We start from the raw sequence: 11,898 nt of genomic DNA on the forward strand, positions 1-11,898 counted from the left end.
TAGACCTGATAAGTAATTTGCTTAACCATAAGTGATTCTGTAATGGTTTTGCAAAGATGATATAGGTTATCTGGATTCAGAGTGCAAGCTCTTACCCACCATCCTATGCTGACTACTCTTTCTGGGTTACAGGTAGTTACAAAATGTAATATAGATTCACTTTTTTTGTAGGTATATATTAATTTTAATATTATTACAGGAGTATAACTCAAATATGTAAAAATATTTTTCTGGTTGTCTATCACTGCTTAACCAACTGCTCTGAAATGAAGGTGCTTAGAACAGCAACATTTTATCATCATCTGTTTTAATTCTAGGTTGTTGGCCAGGCTCAGTTAGGTGTTTATGGCACAGCATTTCTCAGTTGGTTACTGTCCTAAGGTAGCTTGGGCTAATCATCTGAAGGTTAATCACTCACATATCTGGTGATTAGTATTAAAAGTCTCAAGCTACTGCAGTGCTGGGCCAATTGTGACTTATTAGGCATACATATGTATTTCTACACCAAATGGTATATTTCTCCTGGGGACTGTGGATATAGCACAGGGCTCCAAAGCGAGTGGAGAGACAGAGAAAAAGGAAAAAAGAATGACAGAAACACAGAGAAAAGGACAGAAGGACAGACAGAGAAAATGTATTAACAATTTTTTTGAGCTTTGGAAGTTAAGCTCCTCACTTCCACTATATTCTCTTTTTTGAGACAGCCACAAAATTTGCTAAATTTCACAGGAAGGGTATATGACTTGATGAGAGGATTGCCAATGCATTTGTAATCACATCTCAAAATTACTGCGAATATAACCTTAAAAATTAGAAGAAATCACTAAACTACTGTAGAATTCATAAAATGTTGACATAAGACATTAAAATTTTAAAAATTTGTTTGCTAAAATTTTAGCCATAATTAAAAATTTTAATTAACATTCTAATATATTTATTAATAAATATTTAAAATATCAAGTAGGTGTCCAAAAACAGGCTGTAAATTTATCAGATAGAGAGCACCGGATTGCTGGTCAATTTAAGTTTTCTAAATGGCACTAATGGATTGATAATATTATATTAAAACCCAAGAACATGCTATCTCAAATCAATGTTTATTTCACTAATTAATTTTTAAAACTATATAATTAATATATAAAAACAAATTTGTGAAAGGTTAGTGAATGAAGTATATAGAATCAAAATTAAAAGTAGAATCCTCTATGTTTATACAGATTTACAGATTCTTAATTTTATTTCAAAGAAGAATATCATACTTTTTTTTCTGAAACTTTTTTTCATTTAGCAATGTGATGTGGAGAGCATTCCATGATATTGTCTGTAATATGCCTGTTCTCTGTAATTGCTGCATACCTTCTACTTTTTGTGGTAGGTATGTATGTTCATTGACTGATAGCCAGGCAAGTGATGGAGGGAACATCCTGTACATACATGCACTCAGGTGCAAGTATATCTGGATGGCAGATGACTAGATGTAGAATTGCAGAGTCAAACTGTATGTTTAATTTTTTTTGTAAGAGTTGTTTCACTTTATACTCTCTCACAAACTCTTTTCTCAGATTCTTATGTTTGATCAATCTCCTGTGGGAAAATAATTCGTTGACTTTTTATGGCTACATAGTAATCCATGGTGTATACATACTGCACTTTCCTTATTCAGTCTACCATTGATGGACATTTAGGTTGATTTCATGTCTTTGCTATTGTGAATAGTGTTGCAATCAACATATACATGCATGTGTCTTTATAATAGAATGATTATATTCCTTTGGGTATATACCCAGCAATGGCATTGCTGGGTCAAATGGTATTTCTGTCATTAGGTCTTGGAACAGACAACCAAATGCTGCATGTTCTCACTTACAAGTGGAAGCTAAATGATGAGAACACATGGCCACACAGGAAGCTAAGTGATGAGAGCACATGGAACACATGAACAACACACACTGGGGCCTCTTGGAGGGTAGAAGGTGGGAGGGGGGAGAGGATCAGGAAAAATAATTAGTGGGTACTAGGCTTAATACCTGGGTGTTGACACATATTTACCTATGTAACAAACTTGCACATGTACCCCTGAGCTTAAAATAAAAGTTAAAATAAATTCATTGACTTAAGGTTATTGACTTACTAAATTATAATGTCCAACTTTCTAGTACAAGTAGCCATCTTTTTGATGTGATTGGCCATTTTTACTTCTGTGAATTGTCAATTCATATCCTTCATCTATTTTCATATTGGTCTGTTTGTCTTTTTGGTTGGTGATATATAATAGCTCTCACTATACAAGAGATACCAGTCCTTTATCTATGTGTTGCAGGATAAGCTTGATGTAAATTACTTTAGGTTTGTATGCATGATTTAGCAATATTATCTACTATGACACTATATTCATTCAATTTTTCTTAAAAATGTTTCATTTATCTAGATACATTTTATAAAAATGTTGCTGCAATCTCTTCCAATAATTCCCTTAGCATCAAAATTTTAATTTATTTTTAGAATACATTCATGCCATAGGTCATAGAGTGGTTATTGTGAGACTTGGATGATGGTCTTCTTACCAATAAAGACACATAGGTTTGTGTTAACCCATACTACTTTGATCATAAAGTGTTTCCTTGATGTGTAGCTTTTAAGAGGGCCTTGAGAATTCCTGAGATTTTATTATTTGCCAATTTTTGGTAATTTTTGTGGTCTTTTAATTGTTACTGATTATGATTAGTTGCAATATGCTTACATTTTAAAAAATCATTATCCTATTTTTGGTCATGCTAAATGACTTATGTTTTCATATTAGTGTTATGGGATGAATAGAGTTACAGGCTTCTGAGGAAAGAGAGAAACATGAGACATCCTTATATAAAATAGGGTTATATAGAATAATTATCATTTTTAACTGTCTTCTACAAACACATTCAGTTTCACAAACATCTGTAAGGCAGCTCAATAATTCTGTGCCTTGTTTTGGAAGAAGTGAACACATATATACATGTACATTTGTGATAATCAAAATCAGTAAGTCCCCTTAAAGTGCTGGTTTTATATTATCACAACCTACAATTCAGACATTTTATCCAATATTAAAGTTTAAAAATGACCGTGAAAGCAACCAGTTCACACTTTAGAAAAGTTCATGGGGAAAAGAGAATTAGCTTGTGAACAAAGGTTTTCCCAAATAGTTAAATTTTGTAGTATTTGTCAGGTAGGAGTCATTCTATCTCTAATTTGTTGTTCTCCAACTCCAAGTCTCTGAGTCCCATTATTTTGCTCTTCAGGCCCTGAATTTGGCATAAAGTGTAGTAGAGGCGGACAGTGTCGTCTCCTGTGCATCACTGTTGTTTTGCGAAGAAATTCTCAATGTGGTCAGCTGCTGCTGCTACAGAAGTCGATTTTCTTTAAACACTGCCAAGAACATCTGACTTACATAGTATATTTTGATTTGATATTTATTCAAACTGAGCCTGCTTTTTTTCTTTTTACAAACTCTCTAAAACTGCTAAAAGTCTTCACTTTATAAACTATGTAATTACCATGATCTTTATACTGTTGGTAAAGCAATGGTTCACTTTCCCCATGTCTTTCACCTCAGTTCTTTTCTCCCCTGTGTGAATTGTATCCATTTTGTTCAAAGTGATTTTACTGAATACCAGGAGTTATCACCTCTCAAGTGTTATTGGCAATGAGATTGTTTTTGCCAGTTATCAGTGAATTATTAAATTCCAAAGTCCCTTGTTGAGGGTCTGCTTTTTAGTGCCACTTGCCCAAGCTGCCATAGTCTATTTTTCTCAGAAAGCAAAGCCTGAGATAAGAATTAGTGTGCAATAACTTAATTTGAGAAATGTTCTTAGGGTACAGGAGTAGGGGACAGGAAAGGGTGAAACAAGAAGGGAGAAAAGTCAGTACAAGAATGTGTTACCAAACTAATCATCACCATAACTGTTGGGACTAAAGCTCATGCGGACCCAGTAGGAAGTTGTGTGGATGTAAAGCGTGATCATTAACCATCACTTTCTATTGCTCACACTGCCAGGTTATGCATATGTGAGTGAGTGCTAGCTGAGTTTCTTCGAGGGTTCCATGAAGAGATGTTAAAGAAGTCTGGTGCAGAAAATGAGAGACCTGTCCTATCAGAAGACGACTTCACAAAGCTCCTTGACACAGCAAAGGCTAGAGAAAAAAAAATTAGCTGAAAAAATATGGGGTGCAACCTAATTTGATCAAATGTATTAGAGCTTTCTTTTTTCTTTTGTTTCATTTTCACAGTATATTACTTTTCATATGATTAAATACTGTAAATTTTCTCAGGTTTCTGATAAAGTTATGCCTGTGATACAGGAGCTAGAAAGAAATTATTTAGGCAGATAGTGAGGGTGAAAGTCCTTGGTAAGGTTTTGTTTTAATAAAAAGCAGCCCCCCAAATCATTTCCTTGCTAACAAAAAGCAGCCAGAAAAATCAAGCTTCAAACCTAGATAAACAAGCTAAAGCTTGCATAGGTAAATGCTGGCAACTGTGCCAGTAATTCCTCAAGGATCTAGAACTAGAAATACCATTTGACCCAGCAATCCCATTACTTGGTACACGCCCAAAGGATTCTAAATCATTCTATTATAAAGACACATGCACACGTATGTTTATTGCAGCACTATTCGCAGTAGCAAAGACTTGGAACCAACCCAAATATCCATCAATGTTAGACTGGATAAAGAAAATGTGGCACATATACACCATGGAATACTACACAGCCATAAAAAAGGTAAGTTCATGTCCTTTGCAGGGACATGGATGAAGCTGGAAACCATCATTTTCAGCAAACTAACACAAGAACAGAACACCAAACACCACTTGTTCTCACTCATAAGTGGGAGTTGAACAGTGAGATCACATGGACACAGGGAGGGGAACATCACACACTGGGGCCTGTTGAGGTGTGGTGGACTAGGGGAGGGATAGGATTAGGAGAAATATCTAATGGAGGTGACGGGTTGATGGGTGCAGCAAACCACTGTTTCACATGTATACCCATGTAACAAAACTGCAGATTCTGCACATGTACCCCAGAACTTAAAGTATAATTAAAAAAAAAAAAGAAAGAAAAGGGATGGGATACCTTGAAGCCAGGTATATTCAACATGGATATTCAACGTGGAGGTCCCCTCTTTCCTTTTCTTTGTCAACCATATGTGCAGTAAAGAAGCAGCAACATGGCACTGGCCATGTAGAGAAACCATTTGCTTATTGAAAATTAAGGTGGGGCAGACAGCTTCTTCTTACACTATGTAAATGGCACACCTGGTTCCACCAATCCTTTGTGCCCTATATAAATCAGACACTGTTTCCTCAAGCTCATCTATAAATCCCTGTGCATTTCACCATGGGACTAGAAGATCCATTCGGGAGCACCTTTCTGCAGAAATGAGAGCTATTCTCCTTTCTCTTTCTTTCCCCTATTAAACCTCCATTCTTAAACTCACTTCTCGTGTGTCCATGTTTTCAGTTTCCCTGGAGTGAGATGATGAGTTTTGAGTATTTACCCCAGACAATGATGCTGCTTAACCTGTTACTTTTATTTATTCTTATTTTTAAAATTTTTATTTATTTTTTATTTATTTTACTTTAAGTTCTGTGATACATTTACAGAACGTGCAGGTTTGTGGCATAGGTATTCATGTGCCATTGTGATTTGCTGCACCCATCGACCTATCATCTAGGTTTTAAGCCCTGCATGCATTAGGTATTTGTCCTAATGCTTTCTGTCCCCTTGTCCCAGACCCCCTGACAGGCCCTGATATGTGATTTTCCCCTCTCTGTGTCTATGTGTTCTCATTGTTCAACTCCCACTAATGAGCGAGAACATGTAGTGTTTGGTTTTCTGTTCCTATGTTAGTTTGCTGAGAATGATGGTTTCTATCCATATCCCTGCAAAGGACATGAACTCATTTTTTATGGCTGCATAGTATTCCATGGTGTATAGGTACACATTTTATTTATTCGGCCTATCATTGGTAGGCATTTGGGTTGTTTCCAAGTCTTTGCTATTGTAAATAGGGCTGCAATAAACATACATGTGCATGTGTCTTTATATTACAATGATTTTTAATCCTTTGGGTATATATCCAGTAATGGGATTGCTGGGTCAAATGGTATTTCTGCTTCTAGATCCTTGAGCAATTGCCAAAATGTCTTCCACAATGGTTGAACTAATTTGCACTGCCATCAACAGTGTAAAAGTGTTCCTATTTCTCCAAATCCTCTCCAGCATCTGTTGTTTCTTGACTTTTTAATGATTGTCATTCTAATTGGCATGAGAAGGTATCTCATTGTGGATTTAATTTGTATTTCTCTAATGACCAGTGATGATGAGCTTTTTTTCATATGTTTGTTGGCCACGTAAATGTATTCTTTTGAGAAGAGTCTGTTTATAGCCTTTGCCCACTTTTTGATGGTGTTGTTTTTGTCTTATATATTTAAGTTCCTTGTAGATTCTAGATATTAGACCTTTGTCAGAGGGATAGATTGCAAAAAATTCCTCCATTCTGTAGGTTGCCTGTTCCCTCTGATGATAGTTTATTTTGCTGTGCAGAAGCTCTTTAGTTTAATTAGATCTCATTTGTCAATTTTGGCTTTTGCTGCAATTGCTTTTGGTGTTTTAGTCCTGAAGTCTTCGCCTATCCCTATGTCTTGGTATTGCCTAGGTTTTCTTCTAGGGTTCTTATGGTTTTGGGTTTTACATGTAAGTCTTTAATCCATCTTGAGTTAATTTTTGTATAAGGTGTAAGAAAGGGGATCAGTTTCTGTTTTCTGCATATAGCTAGCAAGTTTTCCCAGTTTTCCCGTTGCTTGTTTTTGTCAGTTTTGTCAAAGATCAGATTGTTGTAGATGTGTGGTGTTATTTCTGAAGCCTCTGTTCTGTTCCATTGGTCTATATATCTGTCTTGGTACCAGTACCATGCTGTTTTTGTTACTGTAGCTTTGTAGTACAGTTTGAAGTCAGGTAGAGTGATGCCTCCAGCCGCTTTTTTTTGTTTTGTTTTGTTTTGTTTTGCTTGGGGTTGCCTTGGCTATACAAGCTCTTTTTTCCTTCCATATAAAATGTAAAGTAGTTTTTCTAGTTGTGAGAAGAAAGTCAATGGTAGCTTGATTTGAATAGCATTGAATCTATAAATTACGTTAAGCACCGTGGCCATTTTCATGATATTGATTCTTCCTAGCTGTGAGTATGGAATATTTTTTCATTTGTTTGTGTCCTCTCTTATTTCCTTGGGCAGTGGTTTATAGTTCTCCTTGAAGAAATCCTTCACGTCTCTTTTTAGCCATATTCCTAGGTACTTTATTCTCTTTGTAGTGCTTGTGAATGGAAGTTCAATCATGATTTGGCTCTCAGTTTGTCTATTATCAGTGTATAGGAATACTTGTGATTTTTGCCCATTGATTTTGTATTTGGAGACTTTGCTGAAGTTGCTTATCAGCTTATGAAATTTTTGGGCTGAGATGATGGGGTTTTCCAAATATAGAATCATGTCATTTGCAAACAGAGACAACTTGACGTCCTCTCTTTCTATTTCCATACCCTTTATTTCTTTCTCTTGCTGATTGCCCTGGCTAGAACTTCCAATACAATGTTGAAAAGGAGTAGTGAGAGAGGGCATCCTTGTCTTGTGCCGGTTTTGAAAGGGAATGCTTCCAGCTTTTTTGCATTCAGTATGATATGGGCTATGGATTTGTCATAAATTGCTCTTATTATTTTGAGATATGTTCCATCAATACCTAGTGAATGGGGAGTTTTTAGCATGAAGGTGTGTTGAATTTATCGAAGGCCTTTTCTGCATCTATTGAGATAATCATGTGGTATTTGTGATTGGTTCTTTTTATGTGATGGATTATGTTCATTGAGTTCTGTATGTTGAGCCAGGCTTGCATCACGGGGATGAAGCTGACTTGATTGTGGTGGATAAGATTTTTGATGTGTTGTTAGATTCGGTTTGCCAGTATTTTATTGAAGATTTTTGGATCAATGTCCATCAGGGATATTGGCCTGAAATTTTCTTTTTTGTTGTGTCTCTGCCAGGCTTTGGTATCAGCATGATGCTGGCCTCATAAAATGAGTTAGGGAGAATTCCCTCTTTTTCTGTTGTTTGGAATAGTTTCAGAAGGAATGGTACCAGCTCCTCTTTGTACCTCTGGTAGAATTCAGCTGTGAATCCATCTGGTCCTGGACTTTTTTTGGTTGGTAAGCTATTGATTATTGCCACAATTTCAGATCCTGTTATTGGTCTATTAAGAGATTCAACTTCTTCCTGGTTTAATCTTGGGAGAGTGTATGTGTTGAGGAATTCATCCATTTCATCTAGATTTTCTAGATTATTTACATAGACATGTTTATAGTATTCTCTGATGGTAGTTTGTATTTCTGTGGGATTGGTGGTGATATCCTCTTTCTCATTTTTTATTTCATCTATTTGATTCTTCTCTCTTTTCTTCTTTATTAGTCTTGTTAGCCGTCGATCAATTTTGTTGATCTTTTCAAAAAAACAGCTCCTGGATTCATTAATTTTTTGAAGGGCTTTTTGTGTCTCTATTTCGTTCAGTTCTGCTCTGATCGTAGTTATTTCTTGCCTTCTGTTAGCTTTTGAATGTGTTTGCTCTTGCTTTTCTAGTTCTTTTAGTTGTTGTGTTAGGGTGTCAATTTTAGATCTTTCCTGCTTTCTCTTGTGGGCATTTAGTGCTATAAATTTCCCTCTACACACTGCTTTGAATGTGTCCCAGAGATTCTTGTATGTTGTGTCTTTGTTCTCATTGGTTTCAAAGAACATCTTGATTTCTGCCTTCATTTCATTATTTACCCAGTAGTCATTCAGGAGCAGGTTGTTTAGTTTACATGTAGTTGAGTGGTTTTGAGTGAGTTTCTTAATCCTGAGTTCTAGTTTGATTGCACTGTGGTCTGAGAGACTGTTTATTATAATTTCTGTTCTTTTACATTTGCTGAGGAGAGCTTTACTTCCAAGTATGTGGTCAATTTTGTAATAGGTGTGGTGTGGTGCTGAAAAGAATGTATATTCTGTTGATTTGGGGTGGAGAGTTCTGTAGATGTCTATTACGTCCGCTTGGTGCAGAGCTGAGTTCAATTCCTGGATATCCTTGTTAACTTTCTGTCTCGTTGATCTGTCTAATGTTGACAGTGGTGTGTTAACGTCTCCCATTATTATTGTGTGGGAGTCTAAGTCTCTTTGTAGGTCTCTAAGGACTTGCTTTGTGAATCTGGGTGCTCTTGTATTGGGTGCATATATATTTAGGATAGTTAGCTCTTCTTGTTGAATTGATCCCTTTACCATTATGTAATGGCCTTCTTTGTCTCTTTTGATCTTTGTTGGTTTAAAGTCTGTTTTATCAGAGACTAGGATTGCAACCCCTGCCTTTTTTTGTTTTCCATTTGCTTGGCAGATCTTCCTCCATCCTTTTATTTTGAGCCTATGTGTGTCTCTGCATGTGAGATGGGTTTTCTGAATACAGAACACTGATGGGTCTTGACTCTTTATCCAATTTGCCAGTCTGTGTCTTTTAATTGGAGTATTTAGTCCATTTACATTTAAAGTTAATATTGTTATGTGTGAATTTGATCCTGTCATTATGATATTAGCTGGTTACTTTGCTCATTATTTGATGCAGTTTCTTCCTAGTCTTGATGGGCTTTACATTTTGGCATGATTTTGGAGTGGCTGGTACCGGTTGTTCCTTTCCATGTTTAGTGCTTCCTTCAGGAGCTCTTTTAGGGCAGGCCTGGTGATGACAAAATCTCTGAGCATTTGCTTGTCTGTAAAGGATTTTTTTTCTCCTTCACTTATGAAGCTTAGTTTGGCTGGATATGAAATTCTGGGTTGAAAATTCTTTTCTTTAAGAATGTTGAATATTGGCCCCCACTCTCTTCTGGCTTGTAGAGTTTCTGCTGAGAGAGCTGCTGTTAGTCTGATGGGCTTCTCTTTGTGGGTAACCCGACCTTTCTCTCTGGCTGCCCTTAACATCTTTTCCTTCATTTCAACTTTGGTGAATCTGATAATTATGTGTCTTGGAGGTGCTCTTCTCGAGGAGTATCTTTGTGGCATTCGCTGTATTTCCTGAATCTGAATGTTGGCCTGCCTTGCTAGGTTGGGGAAGTTCTCCTGGATAATATCCTGCAGAGTGTTTTCCAACTTGGTTCCATTCTCCCTGTCACTTTCAGGTACACTAATCAGACGTAGATTTGGTCTTTTCACATAGTCCCATATTTCTTGGAGGCTTTGTTCATTTCCTTTTATACTTTTTTCTCTAAACTTCCCTTCTCACTTCGTTTCATTCATTTGACCTTCCATCACTGATACCCTTTCTTCCAGTTGATCACATCGGCTCCTGAGGCTTCTGCATTCTTCACGTAGTTCTCGAGCCTTGGCTTTCAGCTCCATCAGCTCCTTTAAGCACTTCTCTGTATTGGTTATTCTAGTTACACATTCGTCTAAATTTTTTTCAAAGTTTTCAACTTCTTTGCCTTTGGTTTGAATTTCCTCTTGTAGCTTGGAGTAGTTTGATCGTCTGAAGCCTTCTTCTCTCAACTCATCAAAGTCATTCTCCGTCCAGCTTTGTTCCATTGCTGGTGAGGAACTGTGTTCCTTTGGAGGAGAAGAGGTGCTCTGCTTTTTAGAGTTTCCAGTTTTTCTGCTCTGTTTTCCCCCCATCTTTGTGGTTTTAACTACTTTTGGTCTTTGATGATGGTGATGTACAGATGGGTTTTTGGTGTGGATGTCCTTTCTGTTTGTTAGTTTTCCTTCTAACAGACAGGACTCTCTGCTGCAGGTCTGTTGGAATTTGCTAGAGGTCCACTCCAGACCCTGTTTGCCTGGGTATCAGCAGTGGTGGCTGCAGAACAGCAGATTTTCGTGAACCGCGAATGCTGCTGTCTGATCATTCCTCTGGAAGTTTTGTCTCAGAGGAGTTCCCGGCCGTGTGAGGTGTCAGTTCTCCCCTACTGGGGGGTGCCTCCCAGTTAGGCTGCTCAGGGGTCAGGGGTCAGGGACCCACTTGAGGAGGCAGTCTGCCCATTCTCAGATCTCCAGCTGCGTGCTGGGAGAACCACTTCTCTCTTCAAAGCTGTCAGACAGGGACATTTAAGTCTGCAGAGGTTACTGCTGTCTCTTTGTTTGTCTGTGTCCTGCCCCCAGAGGTGGGGCCTTCAGAGGCAGGTAGGCCTTCTTGAGCTCTGGTGGGCTCCACCCAGTTCGAGCTTCCTGGCTGCTTTGTTTACCTAAGCAAGCCTGGGCAATGGCAAGTGCCCCTCCCCCAGCCTTGTTGCCATCTTGCAGTTTGATCTCAGAGTGCTGTGCTAGCAATCAGTGAGACTCTGTGGGTGTAGGACCCTCCAAGCCACGTGCGGGATATAATCTCCTGGTGCACCGTTTTTTAAGCCCATTGGAAAAGTGCAGTATTCAGGTGGGAGTGACCCAATTTTCCAGGTGCCATCTGTCACCCCTTTCTTTGACTAGGAAAGGGAACTCCCTGACCCCTTGCACTTCCTCAGTGAGGCAATGCCTTGCCCTGCTTCAGCTTACACACAGTGTGCTGCACCCACTGTCCTGTGCCCACTGTCTGTCACTCCTTAGTGAGATGAACCCGGTACCTCAGATGGAAATGCAGAAATCACCCGTCTTCTGTGTCACTCACGCTGGGAGCTGTAGACTGGAGCTGTTCCTATTTGGTCATCTTGGCTCCTCCTCCTAATTCTTGAAGATTTCATTGGCTAAAGTAAAACAAAAATTCTGCTCAAAATGAAGCCAAAATATTTTGAGTATTTGCAAAACAATGTTGATACTATGAGTGGAGTTCTTAATGTTGTTGTGTTCAAATACAATGTGTGAAACATAATGAAGCTC

This window comes from Homo sapiens, chromosome 4 (genome assembly GCF_000001405.40).
Source record: "Homo sapiens chromosome 4, GRCh38.p14 Primary Assembly".
Lineage (NCBI taxonomy): Eukaryota > Metazoa > Chordata > Mammalia > Primates > Hominidae > Homo > Homo sapiens.